We start from the raw sequence: 25,051 nt of genomic DNA, 5'->3' as shown, positions 1-25,051 counted from the left end.
AGACCAGCCTGGCCAGCATAGTGAAACCCCGCCTCTACTAAAAATACAAAAAATTAGCCGGGTGTGGTGGCGGGCACCAGTAATCCCAGCTACTCTGGAGCCTGAGGCAGGAGAATTGCTTGAACCCGGGAGGCAGAGGTTGCAGTGAGCCGAGATCGAGCCATTGCACTCCAGCCTAGGCAAAAAGAGTGAAACTCTGTCTCAAAAAAAAAAAAAAAAAAAAAACCTTAAACAATCATTATGATATCCTCTTTCTTCCTCTACACAAATATGGTAGTTTGAAATATTCTGTTCGAAGAAAATTGCTTTTATTAAAGACAACGATTGGTTTTGCCATTTAATTAGCTCAAATCCCGCCAATCAGACCTTCTGATAGGCAACAGTGAATCTGTGCTGCCATATTGAGTTGACATAATTCAAGACAACAGAAACGAAGCATCATGTTTAAATGAGTCAGCACAGCTTGACATTTTGATCAGGCAGAAAGTAGATCAAGGACCTCCGTGACTAATGTTATAGATTCCTAGCACCTGAGGTTCATGGGCAGAACACTGGTCAGTGATAACAGCTTCTACTAGGAAGGAGAAACTTGTATCCACCCTGCAGGGAGGGTATTATCATCCCCGTTTTAGAGGTGGGCTGCTTGAGCCCTAGGGAGATTTCAGTGTATGGACAAGGTCATGGGGCAGATGTGTCTCCAGGACTGTCTAACTTTGAAGTCCTCATCCTTTTCACTACATCATACAACAGAGAAGAGAAACTTGGAAGAAGCACTACAGTCTTAAATGGGAAGAATATTTAAAAGTAAATTAACTTGATCTCAACAATTTTCTCCAAAAGCTTTATTTTGCAAAGCCACAGTTTAAGCAGCTCACTCCCTGGGCGTCATGGTAGTGTCTGGCTCTCAGAAACTGCTGGTCAGAAAGGCACAGTAAAAGCAACTGCTCCTCCAGCATGATCAACTTACGCACGGATTCCCCACTCATGCATGGCTGCAGACGTTTGCCGCTGTTAACTGAGACTTCTGCATGGTTCGTGGGACTCCCTATGGAGCTGGGGTAGGAGACGGGAGTGTTGTACAAAGTGCTACCAGCAATGGAGGTGAAGGAGCAAGTTACTTGTGGCCCCAAAATAATAATTTTAGAGATAAGCCCTAAGGGTGAGATGAAGTTACTATTTTATCACCCTGTTTTATCTTATCCTATTTTATTTTGAGACAGAGTCTTGCTCTGTCGCCCAGGCTGGAGTGCAGTGGCATGATCTCAGCTCACTACAACCTCCGCCTCCCAGGTGCAAGCAATTCTCCTGCCTAAGCCTCCCGAGTAGCTGGGATTACAGGCACCTGCCACCATGCCCGGCTAATTTTTGTATTTTCAGTACAGACAGGGTTTCCCCCTGTTGGCCAGGCTGGATTCGAACTCCTGACCTCAAGTGATCTGCCCTCCTCGGCCTCCCAAAGTGCTGGGATTACAGGCGTAAGCCACCGTGCCCGGTCCCTACTTTATTTTTTGAAACAGGGTCTCCCTCTGTCACCCAGGCTGGAATGTAGTGGCGCAATGATAGCTCACTGCAACGTTGAACTTCTGGGCTCAGGCAAACCTCCCACCTCAACCTCTTGAGTAGCTGGGACTACAGGTGCACCACTATGCCTGGCTAATTTTTTGAAAAGGGTTTTTTTGTTTTTGTTTTTGTTTTTTTTGCTGGTCTCAAACTCCTGGCCTCAAGCAATCCTCTCCCACCTGAGCCTCCAAAAGTGCTGGGATTACAAGTGTGAGCCATGGGCCTTGCCTGAAATAACATTAAATGTCCATTCAAAGTCCTTGCTAAGTTTTCTCTGCTACAACATGGTATTTGGTATGTGCTAGGCATACAACCTGGAGAACCAGCTTTGAGGCTTTCCTGATGGAAAGGTCTGTATTCCAGGCAGTCAAGAAAGCCGCACAATTCTAGGACCAACAGGAGCCACCCTTCTAAATTTCAAACACTCAAGTCAGGCTGGGACTTTGCACCTTCCTTCAGGGAGAGGGATGTGCTCTGTCTTTGAATGTTGAAATTTACTTTTTTCTAATCAAAAGGAAAGTAAGGAAAGAAAAGCTGCACACAGGTTTTCTAGATGAACTAGCTAACTGCCAGCAGCTGTGATCTCTGTGGGTGAAGGCTGCAACGCAAGGAGCTGGGAACAGGAGAGGAGACGCTCTCCCTCCCATTTCCCCGGGGCAGCTCCCCGTCTCACATGCTGTGGGAGAAGATGCCAGAGAGGTTGTCAATGGAAAGGCAAAGAAATTGACAACGGAGGGCAAAGAAGTCTGCGACTACACAAGGAAGCCACAGCCACCAAAACTCTCACAAAGAAATACATTTTCCTGGCATGACCACAGCTACTACCCAAACCTCCCACTGAAACTGTTTGCAGAAAGGTTTTTTTAAAGACTGAACAAAACTAGGATTCTGTAAATACATGATTAAAAACAAACAAAATAAGCTGTATTTCTATAGAAAAACAGGTGATCTGCCTGCCTTGGCCTCCCAAAGTGCTGCGATTACAGGCGTGAGCCGCTGCACCTGGCCTCATGCACACAATGCTTCCCAGGATTATGGTCGGCTGAGTTCTGGGACGTGCAAGCAGTGTAGAAGCGTTACCTCTCATCACATGTGGGGGTGGCGTGGACTCTAGCACCTGAGATCCTTGTGCCAGCATGGAGATCACGGGCGTTGGTGAAGGATTGGCCCAAGACGGGGTGGAATCTGGAACCACTTTGCTGCCGTAATACAGGGCCCCTGCGTAGACAAACCTGCATCTGTTAGTTTCTAGATTTACGTTTCCACGGAAATTGCTCACCATGTCAAGAATCTGTTTTATGCACCCCCAGGTATTGTCAGCTTAGGTTTTTCTCCTCTGTTTTTATTCCAGAGTTCTCTCGGGCTCCCTCTGTCATGTTGCTGAGGGAGGAGGCCTGTGATACAGTTCTCTCTGGAGTCTGGAACCTGAGCAAGGGTGGCAGTGGGAGGAACCGCTTTATAGGGCCGGGGAAGGGCCCCGTGACTCCAGTGCAGGCCGGGGAGCGAAGTCTGGGAGAAGGCCCAGAATATAATATATAATATTATATAGAATATAATATATAATATTATATAGAATATAATATATAATATTATATAGAATATAATATATAATATTATATAGAATATAATATATAATATTTTATAGAATATAATATATAATATATAGAATATAATATATAATATATAGAATATAATATATAATATATAGAATATAATATATAATATATAGAATATAATATATAATATATAGAATATAATATATAATATATAGAATATAATATATAATATATAGAATATAATATATAATATATAGAATATAATATATAATATATAGAATATAATATATAATATATAGAATATAATATATAATATATAGAATATAATATATAATATATAGAATATAATATATAATATATAGAATATAATATATAATATATAGAATATAATATATAATATATAGAATATAATATATAATATATAGAATATAATATATAATATATAGAATATAATATAGAATATTATATAGAATATAATATAGAATATTATATAGAATATAATATAGAATATTATATAGAATATAATATAGAATATTATATAGAATATAATATAGAATATTATATAGAATATAATATAGAATATTATATAGAATATAATATAGAAAATATAGAATATAATATAGAATATAATATAGAATATTCTATAGAATATAGAATATAATATAGAATATTCTATAGAATATAGAATATAATATAGAATATAGAATTTAATATATAATATTATATAGAATACATAATATATATTATATAGAATACATAGTATATAATATATAGAATACAAAATATATATAATTATATATTACAGATAATATAATTATAATTATACGTTATCTGTTATATATATATATACACGTGTATATATATATATATATATATGAGATATATACACGTGTGTGTATATATCATATATGTATATATGTTTCGGTAGAACCAGTCCCCAAGAAAGAGAAAAGAAAGAGACGTATAAACCTGAGGTCTCCTAGCCCTGGGTGTGTGCACCCTCGGGGGTGCCTGGATACTTTCTGCAGGACTCAGAGAGCATGGACTGTTTGAAAGGCAATTTCTAGAGTCTCAGTTTAGACACAGACTCGTTCCTAAAGAAAGCCTTTTCTCCTAGTTTACAAGCAGAAGGCCAGTTCTTGTCTACTCCCCTCCCCCAGAGTCCTCCAGGAAGCAAAACATCCATTGGAATACTGGTGTAGGGCAAGAAACCTGATTCCAATGATTGGGAGCAAGTGCTTGTACAAACCACAGGGCTTCCAATTCTTTGCTTTCAACAAAATTGAAGAAGGGCTCACATTGTCAGCTGATAAATTATACAAAATTTTTTGGACGCTAGGTCTGTATGCATGTTTTGGCATATAATATGAAAGAGTTCAGATAAGCGAGTAACTGAATATAACCAGACACTTGCCATTTCTATCCACTTGTCTATACCAACCAATATTTATCAGGACTTCTGCCCATACAAGTTCTCTTAAAAGTAGAATTGATGCCGAATCCTGTCTCTTTCAATCCATTCGTAAATAATACTTACCCATGAATACATGAAAAACAGTCACATTTTTCCCAGTAAGAGATTATAGATTATTTCCACTCCAGTTTTACTTCTTATTTGTAAACAAATTTATAATCTATTTATATTATTTTGCTCACTTGGCTACTAGTAGTAATATTAATCAGACCAGGTTCAGAAGGGAATTTTGAATACTCAGAATCTTATGGTTATGATTTTTAAATTAAATTCTTAATTAAAATTAAAATGTATAAACTTTTTTTCTTATAGATAAGTGAGGTGATTACTAAAATAAGCATAAAAATATATTACAATAGGATATAGTTCTGCTGGGCAAGTGGAGTGGAAATACAAGTTCAACTAGAAAAAAGAATAATATAAAACTTCCAATAATTTTTTTTCGAGACAAGGTCTTATTCTGTTACTCAGGCTGGAGTGCAGTGGTGTGATTGGCTCACTGCAACCTTCACCTTCCAGGCTCAAGCAATCCTCCCGCCTCAGCCTCCTGAGTATTTGGGACTATGGGCATGTGCCACCATGGCTGGCTAATTTTAGTATTTTTTTCTAAAGATGGGGTTTTGCTATGTTGACCAGGCTCGTCTCATGTTCATAGGCTCAAGCAATTAACCCACTCCAGCCTCCCAAAGTGCTGGGATTATAGGCATGAGCCACCATGACTGGCCAGGTTCTAGTAATTGTAATATAGGATTTGCTTATGTATTTTTTAAAAATGAGTGATAGTGAGTAACCAATTAAGTATTCTGTTTTATTAGATGTATTGAAAACAGTGATATGGTCAGGCACGGTGGCTCACGCCTGTAACCCCAGCACTTTGGGAGGCCAAGGCAAGTGGATCGCCTGAGGTCAGGAGTTCGAGACCAGCCTGGCCAACATGGTAAAACCCCGTCTCTACTAAAATACAAAAAATTAGCTGGGCGTGGTGGCACATGCCTGTAATCCCAGCTACTTGGGAGGCTGAAGCAGGAGAATTGCTTGAACCTGGGAGGCTGAGGTTGCAGGGAGCTGAGATCGTGCCATTGTGCTCCAGCCTGGTAAACAGAGCAAGACTCTGTCTCAAAAAAAAAAAAAAAAGAAAAGAAAAGAAAAGAAAAGAAAAAGAAAACAGTGATGTGACAGTTTTATTTTAAAAGGTCAATATTTATAAAATACTATGATTATGTTAGTTGCATATAGAAATTGTATTTGTTGTCCAGGAATTGGAGGTTGCAGTGAGATGTGATGGCACCCCCAGGAGGCGGGAGTGCAGTGGTCCTCCTGGGCTCGAGAGATCCTCCTGCCTCAGCTTTCCAAACAGGTGAGATTACAGGTGCCCACCATCACACCCAGCTAATGAAAAAAAACTTTTCTTTAGAGATGGGGTCTCGCTATGTTGCCCAGGCTAAGATAAAAAATTTCAAATATTGATGTCAAAAATGTTGGAAGGGGTACGCAGGTTTTCAAAAGTTCCTTTGGGAAACTTGTGAGCAAAATGGTCAACGACCACAGCAATAATCCATCCTCCTCCCAGCTGGCAGGAAGAGCTTGGGCACAGGAGGGCCCAGGGCTGGGAGCAAGAGGTGGGCTGGGGTGGGAGAGAGCGGAGGCACTAGGACTTCGCCCACCCCCGGGGCAAGAGAGCTGCCTGGCCACTTGTCCCCACAGGTGCAGCCCTGACCTGAGCAGCAGGAGGGATCCTGCGGTGGGGCATCCGCCAGCATGCGCTCATCCCCAGCCTCGTTCTCGATCACCAGCGAGGTCAGCGGAGTCACAATGTGGTGGTCTAGAGACATCTGCAGGATCGATCTTGTAATTCTTCTCTTGGCGGCAGCTGTAGGAGCCAGGCTTCTGTATTCAAGAAGTAGAGGTGTTATGGAGCATGGCTGCATTGGAGGGGGAGCGCAAGTCAGCTCCCTGACCCTGCACCCCACCACTGCTGGGGTCCAACCTGGGGGTGGGGCGGAGCCGCAAAGTAACTGGGAAACAGAACTCACTGGCTTCGAGAAGCTGAGTATTTTATCTGGCTAAGTCCCAAGGCATTATTTATTTACTTATTTATTATCATTATTATTTTTGAGACAAGGTCTCGCCCTGTTGCCCAGGCTGGAGTGCAGTGGCACAATCACGGTTCTCTGCAGCCTCAACCTCCTGGGCTCAAGAGATCCTCCTCCCTCAGCCTCCTGAGTAGCTGAGACTACAGGCACATGCCACCACACCCTACTAATTCTTGTATTTTTTGTAGAGATGGGCTTTTGCCATGTTGCCCAGGCTGGTCTCAAACTCTTGGACTCAAGCGATCCACACGCCTTGGCCTCCCAAAGTGCTGGGATTACAGGCATGAGCCATGCATCTGGCTCCCAAGGCATTTTTTTAAAACTTTATACTTTAGAGCAGTTTTAGGTTCACAGTAAAATTATGCAGAAGGTATCAAGATTTTCTATGTCTCCACTGCATACACACGGTCCCCCATATACACGGCCTTCCCCACTATCAACATCCATCCCACATCAGAGTGGTGCATTTGTTACAATGGAAGAAGCTGACACATCATTATCACGCAGAGTCCACAGTTAACGTGGCTGACCCTTGGTGTTGTACATTCTATGGGTTTGGTTAAATGCATAATGACAGGTGTCCACCATTGGAGTATCATATAGGGTATTTTCACTGCCATAAAAATGCTCTGTGCTCCACCTACTCACGTATCTCCCACTCCCCAACCTTTAGCAACTGCTGATCTTTTTATAGGAATTGTTTTAAAATCAATATTTAACTTCTGCAACAATTTGCTATATACCTGTAAATACATCTAGTGTGCTTCTGTCAGAGAGGGAGCTATTTCTCGTTTACTTCACAGTCATAGTTTACAGCCTTGCGTATTTCTTCTAACCTTATTGACATCAGGGATTTTCTCTATGAGTTCAGTCATACAACTGCATTTCATTTTCCCAGCCTCATTTAGACCCTGTTCCACCTTCCTGAGAATCCTGTCTTATAGACAGAATGAGGCTTGGGAATGGGAACTTTTATCAAACACCTCTGTGTAATTTTGATGCAGGTGGTCAACCATCCATTGCTCTGGGGATATAGTTTTCATGTTGGAGAGTTGAGATGCAGCTCAGCTGAGAAGTCAGAGGGGCCATGGATGAGCATGGGGGAGCCCTTCCTTAGGGAACATCATAATCACATAATCATTAAATTCTCTTTGGACAAGAAGCCGTTTTCAAGAGTAAATGCAAATAAATTACTGATACATGAAGCAACCAGAGGGGACATAGATGAGCATAGGGGAGCCCTTCCTTAGGGAACACCATAATCGTTAATAATCATCAATTTCTCTTTGGACAAGAAGCCATTTTCAAGAGTAAATGCAGGGCTGGGTGCAGTGGCTCATGCCTGTAATCCCAGCACATTAGGAAGCCGAGGCAGGCGGGTCATGAGGTCAGGAGATCGAGACAGTAAATGCAAATACATGCCTGATACATGAAGCAACATGGATGAATCTCACCAACATCATATTGAGTGAAAGAAGCCAGGAACAGAGGAATACAGATTGCATGATTATGTGAAATTTAGGATCAGGCAAAACTGATGATCACAGACATTGAAAGAGTGGTTACAGTGGAGGAGGGGGGTGGGTGTTGAGGGAGAACAAGGGAACCTACATCTGGATCTGGGTGGTGATTACACGGATGATAGATATAAAAATCCATTGAATGGTGCACTTAAAATTAATGCATTTTGGCCGGGTGCGGTGGCTCATGCCTGTAATCCCAGTACTTTGGGAGGCCCACTCGGGTGGATCACGAGGTCAGGAGACCGAGACCATCCTGGCTAACATGGTGAAACCCCGTCTCTACTAAAATACAAAAAAATTAGCTGGGCGTGGTGGTGGGCACCAGTAATCCCAGCTACTCAGGAGGCTGAGGCAGGAGAATGGTGTGAACCCGGGAGGCGGAGCTTGCAGTGAGCTGAGATGGCGTCACTGCACTCCAGCCTGGGAGACAGAGCGAGACTCTGCCTCAAAAAAAATAAAAATAAATAAATAAAATAAAAATTAAAAAATTAATGCATTTTGCATACTTTACTGTATGTTATACCTCAATAAAGAAGAAAAAGAGTGAACCCAGCTTTCTCTGAAGTGTTCAGAACTAGTGGAAGGTAATAATCCAAGCCTGTGCTAATGTGCTGTCTTTCTTGCTTCCAAACTCTTTTTGTGTATGACTTCATATATTCACGGTGGACATTTCAGTTTTGCAGATCTCGTGGTGTGGGTACTCTTCTCTTCTTACCGTTCAGCTAGCAGTTGGTTGATGGTTAGATAGGCCCACAGTTTCCTGGTGAAATCGGGATCTGCATGCTTGTCTTTCGATAGAAAATCCTGCAAGTCGTCCATCTGGGCCAGGGTCTCCAAGACTAACTGCGTGTTAGCCTAGATGATGGAAGGTTCAGTTGAGAGACACTGGGTAACAGAATTATAGTTCATTGATTCACATTTTTAGTACCTGCTGCGAATGAATGGGAATAAAAAAGAAATGGAAGGCAAAGCCTACGGAGGAAGGAAATGCATTCCTGTGCTTGGGATTGGGCTTGGGTGAAAAGGTCAGGATTTATGGAATAGCTGGGAAGATGGCAGAGATATTCTCATGCCTTCTCCATCACTGATTGCTTCTGTTCTACACCCATGATTCCAGGCAGGCAGAGCTGACATTCAAGAGGGACTGTATCTAGGGGGTCAGTTAGTAGATAGAATAAATGGATAAGTGGAAGTACCGAAGTCGCCGTGATAACGCTCTCTATTTGATCCAATTTAGCAGGGTCAAATTTTCCTGCCACCACAATCTCTGAGCCTCCAAAGTAGTTATGGAAATTGTTTTGAGTGACGTCCGTGACTGATGTATGGGGATAGTTGAACTGAACATTCCGGAGCAATGGAGTGGAGACCTGGTTGTAGAATTTCTACAATTCACAGAGAGAGAGAGAGAAATTATGTTCCTACTGCTTTGTAGATCTAAAGCATTTTATTTTATTTATTTATTTATTTTGAGACGATGTCTCACTCTGTTGCCCAGGCTGGAGTGCAGTGGTGGGATCTCGTCTCACTGCAATCTCCGGCTCCTGGGTTCAAGCAATTATCCCACCTCAGCCCCACAAGTAGCTGGGATTACGGGCACCCGCCACCAAGCCCGGCTAATTTTTGTATTTTTAGTAGAGACGGGTTTTCACCATCTTGGCCAGGCTGGTCTTGAACTTCTGTCTTGTGATCTGCCTGCCTGGGCCTCCCAAAGTGCTGGGATTACAGGGATTACGCCCAGCTGATCTAAAACATTTTACTCTGAGATTCTTCAAAGAATCAGCAGATACCTCTTAATTTATTCACACAGGACGTTTGGGACAAGGGAAAATGCTCGTAATTATCAGATTAAAAACAGAGAGAAGACAAAGACTTGTTGAGAACATTACCTTTGGTTTAAGAGCCTGGCATTTTTTTCCCTTTCTGTTACGGTCAGCGTGAAAAACTCTTGGACAAACTTATGATAAAAGTCAGCAGGAGGTCGGGCATGGTGGCTTGACCTGTAATCCCAGCACTTTGGGAGGCCAAGGCAGGCGGATCACCTGAGTTCAGGAGTTTGAGACCAGCCTCGCCAACATGGTAAACCCTGTCTCTTCTAAAAATACAAAAATTAGCCGGGCCTGGTGGCACATGCCTGTAATCCTGGCTACTCAGGAGACTGAGGTGCGAGAATCGCCTGAACCCAGGAGGCGGAGGTTGCAGTGAGCCGAGATCGCAGCACTGCACTCCTGAACCACTGCACCACACCATTGCACTGCCATTGAACGTACTTGTCACCCAGCCTGGGTGACAAAGCAAGACTCTGTCTCAAAAAATAATAGTAATAATTAAATTTTTACAAAAGTCAGCTGGGTTAATAGTCCCCAAATCAGAATCTTATCTCTTACTTGTTCCCAAATTTAAATACGATGCCTGGTACTGACAAAGAGCAGGGAAAAACATGTTCTTTCCCTACATCATTTTCTCATCTATTTAATCAAAACAAACAAGTAGTTTGTGTCTTTTCAATATATGTATTTTAATTAAAAAAATTATCTGTTGAACAGATGGATCTCACTATGTTGCCCAAGCTGGCCTTAAACCTCTGGGCTCGAGTGATCCTCCCACCTTGGCCTCCAAAGAGCTGGGATTACAGGCATGAGCCACCACACTCAGCCTGTATCTTAATACTTAAGAAAATTTACACTGTGAAAAATTGATACCAAGATGCCAATGCACGTTAAAGAGAAAACGGTTGGCCATGATGATAAGAAGACCAATTGCTGGTGGGGCAGGAGAGCTACAAGGAGCTTTGATGACGCTCAGAAGGCCTTTTTGTTCAGGGGGTAGGACAGCTGTTCCCAACACCCATCTGCCTCATACCTCACTGTTACTGCAGAAATATGAGGGTGGGGGGAAACATGTGAGAAAGGAACTGGGCACTTCCCTGATCCTTGCAACCAAATATGGCTGAGATCATGACCATTTTGAGTTAAGTTCAGTTATGCATCATACCTGCATCAGATATGGGTAGTTAAATGATTTCCAGTGAAGAATAAAAAAAGAACAGAAGAAAATGTTACCTTAAGCTGGGAAGACGTGTCCTGGTTTCCATAAATCCTTTGTGCAATTCCATGGTTTTCATTGGACAGTCTCTTCAAAAAATCATAGTCCACATCAAATCCCATGCCCAAACTGAACAAGGAGATATTGTCTTGGATGTTCTCCTTAACGTTTTTCTGAATTTTTGACAGTTTTAGTTCGCCTAAAGTTGGTGATGTCCGAAAGGAAAGGAATGAAGAAGCAATATCATAAATTTTCTGGAAAATCCAGGGAGGGCAGTTTAGTAAAGTGTGTCCAGATTAAAACTGCATTTCCCTTTTGACCCAGTAACTCAATTTCTAGTTTTTCTTAGAGATGCACTCGTACATGTTGAAATGAAGTGTGGGTTGTGTTGCATAGCAACATTATTTGGGAATTAGCAACATATTGGAAACAACATAAATATGCACCAATGAGGGCGCTTGGTTAGATGATGATACATTTAAACCGTGAGATACTATGCAGCTATTAAAAAGGACATGGAAACTCCTTATGTATGTATACCAGACAATCTCAAGGGCATGTTTAGAGGAGAAAAAAAAAACAAGGTAAATATCAGGGTACCTAGGATGCATTTGCATGCATGCATGTATAAATGTATGTATGTGTATGTATGCATATACACATACATGTGTGCAAACATGTATATATAGTATACAGGCATGCATAAACTATTTGTGGAAAGATACACAAGAAACTGGTAACCAGTGACTGATTCCAGGGACAGGAACTGAATGGTTGAGAAACAGGAGTGAGAAACCATGATTAAACCAAATTATGGTTTAATTTTGTTTTTTTTTTTGAGACAGAGTCTCACTTTGTTGCCCAGGCTGGAGTGCAGTGGCACGATCTCAGCTCACTGCAACCTCCGCCTCCTGGGTTCAAGGGATTCTCCTGTCTCAGCCTCCCGAATAGCTGGGATTACAGGCACACGCCGCCCTGTCAGGCTAATTTTGTATTTTTAGTAGAGATGGGGTTTCACCATGTTGGCCAGGCTGGTCTTGAATTCCTGACCTCAGGTGATCCACCCACCTCAGCCTCCCAAAGTGCTGGGATTACAGGTGTGAGCCACCATGCCTGGCAAGTTTAATATTTTAAACTATATTTCCTTTTCCACCTTATGATTTCATTCAAAACTTGAATTTTGAAAATAATCTGATCTGAGGGAGAAAACATTGGCTCTACAACAAATACATAACACTGGCTCATTCTAGTCTCGTTATTAATAAGATGGTTGCTCTCTGGCTTTCTAAAGCTCTGACTGCCATTGTTTTTGCCTCGTGCATTTTCATTCTGCTTGGCTGTGTCAGGACGTGTTAGACTCGGTCCTAGTCTGTACGACAGCACACTCAGGCAACACAATCTGGCATTCGCTATTACTTACAGTGGCCAGAATAAAGACACAAGTAAAACAAAGATAGCTTGGCACAGTGGCTCACACCTGTAATCTCAACATTTTGGGAGTCCGAGGTGGGAGGACTGCTTGAGCCCAGGATTTTGAGATCAGCCTGAGCAACATAGTGAGACTTCGTCTCTCCAAAAAAAAAAAGAAAGAAAAAAAAGAAATTAGCTGAGTGTGGTGGTGCACACCTGTAGTCCCAGCTACTCAGGAGGCTGAGGTAGGAGGATCACTTGAGCATGGGAGGTTGAGGCTGCAGTGAGCTGTGTGTGCTCCACTGCACTCCCTCCTGGGTGACAGAGCAAGACCCTGTCTTCAAAAATAAATAAAATAAACTAATGTAACAAAAATAAAAATAAATAATAGAAGTAGGGAGATGTTGCTGCCCATTTTGTAGAAAGAAAAATGTTTAACTTCAAGGTTGTGTCAGAGAGCAGTCATTTCTCCAGGTGCAACCGGGAGAAGTGTGGAGAATAATAGGGAATATGCTACTGTGGCCTCCAAAGGTACTGCTGGGAGATCTGGGATCAATACTCATCATTCACCACCCCCATACACCATCTTCACATACCTCAAGTTGAGGAAATAGATGCATTTCCCTAGAATGCATCAGCAATCCTCACAACATACTATTAAAATTCAGACTCAGATTTCTGCATATTGTGGAGGTGGAACTGAGGCATTCAAGAGCGCCCTTGCTGAAAGTGTCTGAGCAGTAGCTTAAGGGGTGAGGGCTGCAGGATCAGAAGACCTCCTTTAGGAAGCATGGGTTTAAAATGTTCTAGAAACTCAGGCAAATGCCATTAGAGTTCCCCTTTTAGGCAAACCACCATTCCAAGAAACAACAGTGAAAGTGTTTGTCGTGAGAAGGTTGAAGTGACACTTGCCCACTGTTGGATCTCCATCAGAAACCAAAATGATCAGCGAGACGGAGTTGGGGTCTAACAGTCCCAAGTTATTGGCTTCATTCAAAATGAAGATTGCCCGTAGGAGTGCTTCGTTGATGTTTGTGCCTGTTGAAGTAGCATAATGAAACGTTGGGTATGCGTTCTCGCCACACGCAGAAAATCCCATTCTGGATTCAGACTCATATGTCGGCTGATCACTTATCCATCACTTATTCCATGCCAAAATCATTTCATTGCTTTCTGAGTGACACAAACTGTGCTCAAGCTGGTGGTCCCCCAGTGCAGTGAAATATTCACTTTGAAATAAACTATCCCCTTAGAGATGAACTAGCCCTTTCAAAGCACAGACTGTTAGCTTGTTAAACACCAGATTAAAGTATCCAAATCAGCCTTGCCAAGATACTCTGAAGATAGTAACATTTTATGCTTTATGCAGGCAATAAAGAAGGCCAGTGTCACTGAACCTTTTTCTGAGAGACATTAAAACGGTTCAAAGCTTATGTGGGCTGTATTACAAATTCTACTTTCACTACAAACTTAGCATTCATCCATTACCAATAAATGTATTATTTAAGATAGGCCCTCGAATGCTGGGGAAAGACCACTGTGATGGGAATAATGCTTCTTAAGTGAATCATGATTTGAACCCAGAGGAAGTGTCTCCTTGGGATTTAGCCCAACACACTCACCTCCACTGGGCTGGATTTTCTCAATATACCTCTTGGCATCTGCAACCTGTGTTTTTGTAGCTGAAATTAAATCATTTCTCCAAGTTCGAATGTTCTGGTTGAAATCAATCACAGAGAAATGGTCTTCTGCTCTGAGGTCATCCAATATGGTCTTCATTGCTTCCACAGTCTATTTCAATAGAGAATAAAGACAGGTCCCATTACAGAAAATCTGAGCCTCAGAGGAACTAGGAAGACCAATCATTGATCCTGGTCATCTTTCAAGTTCTTCTCAAGCTAAACTTCTTCCAGAAAACCTCTTGAGCCCACCTCAGTCAATGCAGACCTGCCCCTTATTTATTCTGGGCATGTACTGTTGGCTTTTTGATAATTTTACTATCTATTTTGCTATGCACAACCAGTTTGACTAGTCTTTATGTTAAGGATCACAAACTTCGAGTGCCACCTTTATGATGCCTGAAAATAAAATACATTTCTCAAGTCCATCTACTCACCCAGTCTCTTAAACTATTTCCTCATCTTTCTCTTTAAACCACCACCATCACCCTCTTTCTCTAGCTTACGTGTGATGATTTTGATTCCAACTCCACTGAGAAACTGCAGCAGACAGAAGAACATTCCCACAGACTCCCACTACCATAAAATCCCAACCATCAATATTTGTACCCATACATTTTTCTTTCCTACCTGATAATAAAGAACAACTAGCAGTATTTCTACCTAATGCAAACCCATCTATTCATGAACTATTTCATTCCCTCTCTTTGACTAAAGATCATGGCTCCAGCAATTGTCCTTTGCCTCTTCAATTTCCCTATTCTATTGGTACATTTCCATCAACAAAAACATGTTATTTCTCACCCTTCTACAAACCTCATGTGCATCCACTTTCTTCATTTCTCAGCTTTCTTCTGCAATAAAATTCCTTGAGGAATTGTCTAAACACACTGTCTCCAAATCTTCTCTTCCTATTCTCTCATAAGCCCAATCCTTTCGGGTTTTCATCCCTGTCACTCTACTGAAACTGCCCTTGTCAAGGTCACCAATGATGCTAATGTCACTAAATCCAAAGGTCCATCTTCATTTCTCATGCACCGGCAAGTGCTCTCATCTCCCTCCTGAACACAAATTCCTCAATTGTCTTCCAGGGCCTCATTCTCTCTTGATTTTTCTCCCCCACTTACTAATTGTTTTTATTAGTCTCTATCACCAATTATCCTCTTCTTCCCAAATTCCCAATATTGGAATGCTCTGTTGTCTGATCTTGGCTCCCTTGTCCATCTACTCCTCGGCATTCTCACCTAGTCCCAATGCTGACAGTACCTTCTATATGCTGGGGAGTCCTAACTGTGTGTCTCCACATCTCACTTTTGAACACCACGCTTCCATGGCCAACGTGGGTACTTAATAGAAATCTCAGACTTTGCATCCAAAACCAAACTGGGACATTCCCTGCAATGTCTGATTACATTTCTGTCTTTGTCAACTCATGGATGGCCACTTCATCCTTCTAGTCACTCAGGCTAAGTCCTGGGGCATCTTTCACTTCTCTTTTCTTCCCTTGCCTCACAGCTAGCCCTTCAGGATATACTGTTTACTCTACCTTCAAAACAGATTCCAGAATCCAGCTCTGATCATGACTGCACAGGTGTTCCATGAGCCACCTTGCCTCTCACTTCTCAGATCTCATCTCCCACTGCCCCTCTCTACTGGCATCTCTCTCTGTTCTTTGCACACTTTCGACTTAGAACTGTTGCATGAGCTGTTCATTGCATTTAATTCCCTTAGATATCTGCACAACTCTCCCTTCACCTTCTCAGGGTCTCCTCAGAGGTCTTCTCCAGGAAACCACCTATTTAGATGACAAGCCTATTTAAAATTGCATACCCCTGCAATTGCCACTCTTGGTTTTTAACATATGCTTCTTTTATTTTTTAAAAAAACTTTTATCAAAATGCTGCCATTGAACGTACTTGTACATTTGTACTTGCATGTGTATTGTTTATTCTCTGTCCCCTATCCCTCAGATGTAAGTTTCATAAGCACACAGAGGGTAGGCATCCGTTTTTTTTCTGTTTTTTGTTTGGTTTCTGTTTTTATGCTTTGGGTCTGTTTTGCTCATAGATGAACTAAGTGTATGACACATAGTAGGTGCTTCGTAAATATTTGTTAAATGAATGAGTGATGGAAGGAAGGAAGCAGTGAATAAACTGTTGTATTAGAGCAATGTTTCTCAACCAGAGGCAATTATTCCCCCCAGCGGACATTTGGCAATGTCTGACGTTATATTTGATTGTTATGATGCAGGGGAGGTTGTGCTACCAAAATTTAGCAAATAGACCATAGACCATGCTGCTAAGTATCCTGCAATGCACCAGACAGCCCTCCTACAACAAGGAATGACCCCATCCAAAATATCAATAGTCCCACTGCTGAGAAACCCTGCCTGGGAGTACAGACCCAGGCAGGCAGGGTCTGTGAAAGACAGGGTCTTCTTTTTCCTCTTCTTCGTCTTCGTCTTCTTCCTCTTCTTTTTTTTTTTTTTTTTGAGATGGAGTTTCGCTCTTGTTGCCCAGGCTGGAGTGCAATGGCGCGATCTCTGCTCGCTGCAACTCCCGCTTCCTGGGTTCAAGCAATTCTCCTGCCTCAGCCTCCCGAGTAGCTGGGATTACAGGCATGCACCACCACGCCTGGCTAATTTTGTATTTTTAGTAGAGACAGGGTTTCTCCATGTTGGTCAGGCTGGTCTCAAACTCCCAACCTCAGGTGATCCACCTGCCTTGGCCTCCCAAAGTACTGGGATTACAGGCGTGAGCCACTGTGCCTGGCTGACAGGGACTTCTTTTAGGTTCCTTACAGATCTTAGGGTAGTAGTGAACTCTTGGGTGGTCAAAAATAGTTGCCCTATGACTGGTTAGTTGGTTGTTCAACTTGGTTGAATGGATGGATGGATTGATGGGTAAGTTAAATCATTTCCTTGTTTGGTCTTTAGTATTGCATCTGTACATCTCACTTATCACTAAGTAAGCCTATATTGAGCTCTGAGCTGGAAAACATAAGATGGATAGCTGCTCTCAAGCAATTACCATATAATTAGAAATAATATGTATATATTGAATCAATAGTCATATGTGGACAATGACAAGATATTATAATAAAACATGTGGAAGAGCAAAAAGAATGTGACTGATCCTTGAAAGAAGAGGTTATATAGAGATTCTGTTTTTCAAAGAGGTGAGTTTTGAGACAGTTTTTCAAGGAAATATTGGATAGAGAGTGGAAAAGAGAAAGAGAAGGAAGAGGAAACAGGAAAGAGGAAGAAGAGAAGGAAGGGAATTTTACACTAGAGGAATGATTAGAAGACGGAGGTGTATGTCCTGTGAAATGCAATAATAGCAAAATTTTAGGAAGAGTTGACACCGGCAGTCTGTAACCACAGTCCCTGAGCTTCAGCCCTAAGCAGGGAGGAGGGATAGAATGATTGCATTTTTAGGAGGGGATCAAAGAAGATAGGGAATCCCCCCAACCACTGCAAACAAGGGGGTACTTACTTGTTTCATTTTAACTCCCCACATGGAGCCACTCACATCGATGACAAAGAGGATGTTTTTGGGAATTGGGTCCAGGTTGTCAGGAGCAAAGAAGTGGACAAAATATCCATTAAACACCTGAAAAATAGAAGGTATTTGTGAGTCAAATCATGATTCGTGTTTAGAAGGTAGGAAGATGGGGACCTGGGGACTCAGAGAAGAGAGGGGTCTACAGGGAGGAGGAGGCGGAGCTTGATGTGCATTTGCCTCCACATTTTCCTGCCTGCTCCCCCACCTCCTCTCCTCTGAGGGTCAAGACCTTCCTAGCAGAACATTCCGCTCCACTCCACTCCACGCTGCTTCACTCCACACCGCTCCACTCCACTTGACTCCTCTCCACACCATGCCACTCCACTCCACGTCACACCACTCCACGCCACGCCACTCCACGCCATGCCAGGGCACTCCGCTCCACACCACACCACGCCACTCCACTCTACTCCACTCCACGCCACGCTGCTCCACTCCACTCCATGCCACTTCACTTCACCCCACTCCACTGCACGCCACTCCACTCCACCCGACTTCACGCCACTCCACTCCACGCCACTTCACTCCACTCCACTCCACTCCACATCACTCAGTCTTTACAGAGAGCCCCTGTTCCAGGCGCCCTGCTAACCAGCGGTGAATCAGGCAGAGCACCTCCCGTCAGGAGGCTCCCAGCCAGCAGAGGATAAGGGTAAGTGGAGGCAATGTGCAGCGCGGTGTGTTCAACACCATGATTAGGAAGTAAAGGGCTCGGCAAGAGCCCCGTGTGCATCTAACGCGCACCCAGGGGACGGTTCTCTAGGAAGCAGCATCTCCACTGGGACCTAAGGATGAGCTCAGACTCAGAAGCTCTCTTGAGAGCTGGGCCAGGTTGAGATAGTGGGGAATGGGGAAGAGAGTTCCAGACAGCGCAGCCCCAGAGATGAGAAAACATGGCATATTTGGGGCTCCATATGTGGTTCAGCAAGATGGGGCCGTAGAATCCAAGAATTCAGGGAACTAGTTGGAGAATCAGCAAGACAGATCACGAAGGACGTGTATGGGCCACTTTAGAAAATTTGGATTTTTCTTGAAGTTAATGAGAGGCTGCCCCAGCTGGACTCCTGACCATCCTCTTTGTCTTCTGCTGCAGGCTTGATGACTGGCTCACCTAATTCTCTTTCCTCTGCCCTTTGGCTGCCTCTTTCCAGGAAACTACAGCATCCAGGTACAGGGTGTGTGCTCCGCTTGCTGTCCCTAGAGAGACTCTTGGAGTTTGCGTACGTTCTAAGAGTCCTCACCTTAGTACAAAGAAAGGAAGACACACGTCTGGGACATGACTGAAGGGGAAAGGAAACTTTTCAAGAAACTTCATGATAAACCTTGGCCTTGAAATTCACCGCTGGCTCTTGATCTTTCTAGGCTGTGGATGCGCCTTCCTCCTCACCCCGTAATCTCTGTGCTTTCTTTGATTGTCTAATTGCAAAGGGCCTTGGGAGCCTATTTAAAATTCCTGTTCTGTAATTATTCCTTTGTTCTTCACATGAGGCCCAGGAATGCCCTCCTGGGACAAGAGCATGAGACCCTATTCATTTAGTTTTTAATACATAAAAGATAATGCTTAGCGGTATATTCAAAGAATATGATTTTAGTCCCTTCTCTGCAGCTAGAAACACTTGCCCTGGCAGCTAGAAACCACCCATAGGCCTGGGAGTTTGTTCAAAAAGGAGCAGCTCTTTGGCACGAGCTTGGCAGTAGAACCAGAGCCGGTGTGCACTCACCTCCAGTTCACCAGCCTTCTCTTCTCTTTTCACGTCATACAGCACCACCAGTTCCCCATCTACCGCAGTCTCCCGGCAGTTAGGGCATATTCTCTGCTGTGCTACCGTGGGCTTGAAGGAGACGTGCGCCTAGAAAGAACGGTGACATCAGAGCCTCTGCCTCTAGCCCCTTCCCAGTGCTTGGCGCTGCCCCTTCTCCAGCACACAGGGAAGAGGAGCTGCCCAATGGACGTTCTGAATCCCCGCGATATCGGTGGACCCATTACTGATGGGAAGGACATGCCAGGGCTTTTGCAGGGAGCATCTCTAGCCTGCCATGCTGTTTGCAAGGTTTCAGACCTTTTTAGAAGAAAGCCGAAGAATTTCCTTCATCCCCTGTAGAAGGGCTGACTATGTGCTTTGGAAAGAGTTTGTGAAATGTTTTAATGCTCTTAGAGGAGTTTCTCCTTACAGGAGTCATAGTTGGTTATCGCTGGTCATTGAGGCAGAGAGCTGAACATGTCTTGCTATGGTTAATGAATGAAAATCTGCCATATAGGATGTGAAAGCTGTCCTTTAGCTACTGGTTAAGCAGGTGACTGACGGGGAAATGAGACTCAAAAAGGGACAATCTCTGGTCAAAATGGAAGGAAAGCACTGGGAGTGTTGTTCTGTGTATCCTGGGGAGGCCCTAGGCTCTACTTGGGGATCCCCATTTCTTCAACAGTGTCCTCAACACCAGCCTGCTTTTCTCTTCTCCAGAGCACAGAAGGAGAACAGAACCCACAATCCAGAGGCCCTGTGAATGCCTGGCAACACACAGGGCTCAGGGTACCTTCTGTTGTCCTTTAGAAATGACCGGAACACCATCGAAATGGCCTTCAAATGTGTCGGGAACATGAAGAAATCTCAGTCCCTGTGGTTCGATAACCCACACATCTACCTAGAGATGCAAGAGAAAATTACCCAAAGCATTAAAAGTCTTTAAAGTCTTTTTAAGCAAGAAGTAAAATTACAAATAAGTCCTCTGATGCTTTTCTCCTCCGCAGGTTTCCCGGGCACGACTCCACGATCTCTCCTGCAGGATCTGCAAGTTCCTGCGATGGGATTCATCTCACCACGGAGGCTTAACCCCCTTCTGTCGACTCAGAGCTCTCCTTCTGCTGCCTCACTCCCCCAGGAGTCGACTCCCTTCCTCATTCTATTCGAGTCTTTTTATTTATAAGAGCATTTGCATTGTTAGGGAAAAAAAGAATTCCTTCTTCTTTTTCCCTCATTGTTAAATAGCACTGCATCTACTCTGTAGACCTGTCAAAAGTAGACCATTTTCCCCAAATCTTGGGTTGTTTTATTTCTTCTCTGTCTTCTTGCTTTGAACAGACCTCATCTAGGGAAATCCCCTTTGGTGATTCTTGACCAAACCACAGTCATAGCTGCCATTTTTTTCTTTTTTAAATTTAATTCTATGATTTGTTTGTTTATATTTTTGTGTAATTATTTTGAAAAATCTGTATAAATTTAAGGAGTACAAATGCAGTTTGGTTACATGAATATATTGCACAGGGATGAAGCCCAGGCTTTTAGTGCAACTACCACCCAAGTAATGTACCTTGTACCCGTTGAGTAATTTCTCATCCCTCACCCCACTCCCACCCTCCCACACTTCTCCCAAGTCTCCCCACTCCCACCCTCCCACACTTCTCCCAAGTCTCCCCACTCCCACCCTCCCACACTTCTCCCAAGTCTCCCCACTCCCACCCTCCCACACTTCTCCCAAGTCTCCCCACTCCCACCCTCCCACACTTCTCCCAAGTCTCCCCACTCCCACCCTCCCACACTTCTCCCAAGTCTCCCCACTCCCACCCTCCCACACTTTCGAGTCTCCAATGTCTATCATTCCCCACCCTATGTCCCCGTGTACACATTATTCAGCTCTCTCTTATAAGTGAGAACCTGTGGTATTTGATTTTCTGTTTCTGAGTTACTTAGCTGCTATTTTTTCTTTTCTTTCTTTCTTTTTTTTTTTTTTTTTTTTTTTGAGACAGGGTCTCATTTTGCCATCCAGCCTGGAGTGCAGTGGCATGATCATAGCTAACTGCAGCCTCGATTTTTTAGGCTCAAGTTATCCTCCTGCCTCAGCCTCCCAAGTGGGTGGGACTACAGGGGAGCACCACCATGCCTGGCTAATTTATTTATTTATTTTCAGTAGAGGTGAGGTATCGCTGTGCTGCCCAGGCTGTCACTCAGTTTTTATTAATATTGTTATTATCAACAGTCTCAGTGATTGTCTCCTCCTAGGCTTAGATGCTAATCACATCTAACCATTGCTTCAAATTATTTACCACGGGATTCATGGCATTGAGGAAGAGAATGTGGGTTACTGACACTCATCCATCATCAGTAGTGGAAAAATGTCCAACAACACACTTAATTGTACAGAGCATCTTGGCCAAGTCACGTGCCCTGGATGGCGCTGCATTTGCCTGAAGGACGGGCATCTTTTTTCAATTCACGCAAAAGCACGGTATGTGCTAGGAGTGGCCCAGAAAAGAACTCAACAGCATAGACTCTGATAGTGAACTGATGCCAAACAGTGGGCATTATTGATCCCACGAGCAGCTTTTCAAATGGGAATTAAAGTTTCATCGTGATTAATTCATTCCCTTTCATCTCCCGTGTCTCCGGGCAATTCACAACCTGTCTGCTTTACTCTCCCATCTGCCGGGGGAGGGGCATGTTGGCCTCTGTACTCTCTTAGGTTTCCTCTTGCCTAGCTCTGCCTCTTACACTAAACAGTCATAGGATGTCACAAAGATTTGAGCAAAGAAAAGAGCAGTTTAGTCTTTATAGCAAGAGATGAAGATGACAGCAGAGGTGAGTTCAGATGGATAGTAATGCAGTGGATGACCGAGGCACTGCTCCCCTGCGGTGATGATGGCTGGGGTGGCAGGGAAGACAATCCACTTAACCTTCATCAAGCTCCTGTCATTGGCCACATATTACAGGAACAGGAAACCAAGTACTGCACATTCTCACTTCTAAGCAGGAGCTAAACATTGAGTACACATGGACACAAAGAAAGGAACAGTTGACACCAGGGCCTACTCGAGGGTGAGGGAGGGAGGAGAGAAAGGATCGGAAAACTACCTATCAGGTACTATGCTCATTACCTGGGTGGTGAAATCATCTGTACACCCAACCCCTGTGACATGGAATTTACCTGTGTAACAAACCTGCACATATGCCCCTGAACTTAAAAGTTAAAAAAAAAATAACTGAGAAACAAAAGTCTGTTACAGTACTCTTTTCATAGATGAGACAGCGAAGACTCAGGATAGCTGGTCCTTGAAGATTAGTGTCTTGGGTTGAATGGTGGCCTCCCCCCCTAAAGATGCGCCCAACCTCTGGAACCTGTGAATGTAGATTTATCTGGAAAAAGAGTCCTTGCAGATGCAATTAAGGATCTTGAGTTGAGATCATCCTGTACTACCTGGTGGACCCCAAATCTAATAGGTGTTCTTGTGAGAGAAAGGCAGAGGGGCATTTAAGATGCTCGGAGGAGGAGAGGATGCGACCGTGGAAGAAGAGATTGGAGTGATCTGACTACAAGGCCACAAGTCAAGGAAGGCTGGCAGCTGCCAGACAGCAGGAGAAGCAAGGAACGGGCTCTCCCCTGGAGCCTCCAGAGAGAGAGAGTGCAGCTCTGCAGACACCTTGACTTCAGACTTCCATGAGAGAATCAATTTCTGTTGTGTTAAGCTGTGGCGTTTGCTGTAACTTGTTATAGCAGACCTCAGAAACCACCATAATACGGCTGCTAAGGAGACCGAGAGCCATAAGGAAGTGGTGTGGCTGACTCCAAACCCACCATCTTTTCAATACATCCCACTGTCTTGTAGAGTTGAGTGGCATCCAACACCACAAGTGCTAGTGACAAGCAGAAAGTATAAATCAGGGTCAGAGACTATAAAAGGACAGTGTCACTGCCCACCCTACAGATCCAGGCTTACCTCTAAGTGTTTGGCCAGCCGTCCAGGTTGCAGATAGATCCTGTGCTCATAGGAGCCCAGCTTCCTCCACTTCACCTCCTGGTAGTGAAGTTCGAACTGCACCTTTGCTCCTGGGAGGACATTTACTTCCGTTCTGAAGTTTTCCATATCAAGAGCGCTGCTCCTAAAGGTGAAAGCCCCCAACAAAAGTCAACAGATACATGATTGAGCAGCAAGACCCAGAATCTAGGCAGAGGGCATGTAGAATTTCCTGGACCGTCCGTTCTGCTCAGTAGTTCATGAAAGTGAACAGTAGGTACACTAGAGATAAGTGCAGCTTCTAGATCAGTTGAATCCCAACAAGAGCTTCAGTCTCCTCTCCTACCCGATCTCCAGCTCCCAGAGCTTCTTACTGACTTGAGTGTTGTCTGCAAAAAACTACCAGGGATTGGCCCCTATCCTGGGCCAGGAATTTGACATCTATCATTGCTGATATAGCTGCTCTGCAATATGGAGATCATTACCCTGACTTTTCAGATGATAAAAAAATTAGGCTTGGGCTGGGTGTGGTGGTTCATGCCTGTAATCCCAGCACTTTGGGAGGCCGAGGCAGGCGGATCACGAGGTCAGGAGTTCGAGACCAGCCTGGCCAACATGGTGAAACCCCGTCTCTACTAAAAATACAAAAATTAGCTGGGCATGGTGGTGTGTTCCTGTAATCCCAGCTACTCAGGAGGCTGAGGCAGGAGAAATGCTTGAACCAGGACCCAGGAGGCAGAGGTTGCGTTGAGCCGAGATCACGCCATTGCACTCCAGTCTGGGTAACAAGAATGAAACTCTGTCTCAAAAAAAAAAAAAAAATAGGCTTGTAGAGGACCTGCTCAAGACCCCATGGCCAGTCCACTGTGGGATCAGAACTCACACCCAAGGTTGGGTGGTTCAAAGATAACACTCTTCCCATACTGCATTTGAGGCTCACTATAGGAGTTCTTGATATTTCTGAAGGTCTTCAGAAAGAAAAACTTTATTATTGCTCAAATTGAGTATGTTTCTCTTTTTTTTTTTTTTTTTTTTGAGCTGGGGTCTCGCTCTGCTGCCCAGGCTGTAGTGCAGTGGTGTGATCTCAGCTCACTGCAACCTCCGCCTCCAGGGCTCAAGCTATTCTCCTACCTCAGCATCCCGAGTAGCTGGGACTACAGGCATGCGCCACCATGCCCAGCTAATTTTTGTATTTTTAGTAGAGTCAGGGTTTCGCCATGTTGACCAGGCTGATCTCAAACTCCTGACCTCAGATGATCCACCCGCCTCCACTTCTGAAAGTGCTGGGATTATAGTCTGAGCCACTGCACCTGGCCTGAGTATGTTTTTCTATCATAAGGCCTTATTTTAGTCACATACATACTGAGTTCAATGTGATCATTGATCTTGAGGTGTTTATGGTTTAAAGAGAAAACAGCAGAAT

The 25,051-nt window shown here is 43.6% G+C and overlaps 1 protein-coding gene across 1 annotated transcript in view; it reads right to left on the bottom strand.

Annotated features, from left to right (window-relative positions):
* The window catches only part of ITIH2 (inter-alpha-trypsin inhibitor heavy chain 2), a 46,205-nt gene that overhangs the window by 8,122 nt on the left and 13,032 nt on the right, over positions 1-25,051 (bottom strand). Inside the window, exons 6-16 of the mRNA NM_002216.3 lie at positions 23,611-23,773; positions 20,436-20,543; positions 19,622-19,750; positions 17,832-17,948; positions 14,281-14,449; positions 13,571-13,696; positions 11,266-11,447; positions 9,403-9,588; positions 8,922-9,061; positions 6,308-6,477; positions 2,641-2,778 (exon numbers count right to left, since the gene is read on the bottom strand). Of these exons, the coding sequence (NP_002207.2) occupies positions 2,641-2,778; positions 6,308-6,477; positions 8,922-9,061; positions 9,403-9,588; positions 11,266-11,447; positions 13,571-13,696; positions 14,281-14,449; positions 17,832-17,948; positions 19,622-19,750; positions 20,436-20,543; positions 23,611-23,773 (1,628 nt within the window). The remainder of the gene's footprint in view (positions 1-2,640; positions 2,779-6,307; positions 6,478-8,921; positions 9,062-9,402; positions 9,589-11,265; positions 11,448-13,570; positions 13,697-14,280; positions 14,450-17,831; positions 17,949-19,621; positions 19,751-20,435; positions 20,544-23,610; positions 23,774-25,051) is intronic.

This window comes from Homo sapiens, chromosome 10 (assembly GCF_000001405.40).
Source record: "Homo sapiens chromosome 10, GRCh38.p14 Primary Assembly".
NCBI classification, from domain to species: domain Eukaryota; kingdom Metazoa; phylum Chordata; class Mammalia; order Primates; family Hominidae; genus Homo; species Homo sapiens.
The sequence above is the reverse complement of the archived record's forward strand: the minus strand, read 5'-3'. Positions and strand labels throughout refer to the sequence as shown.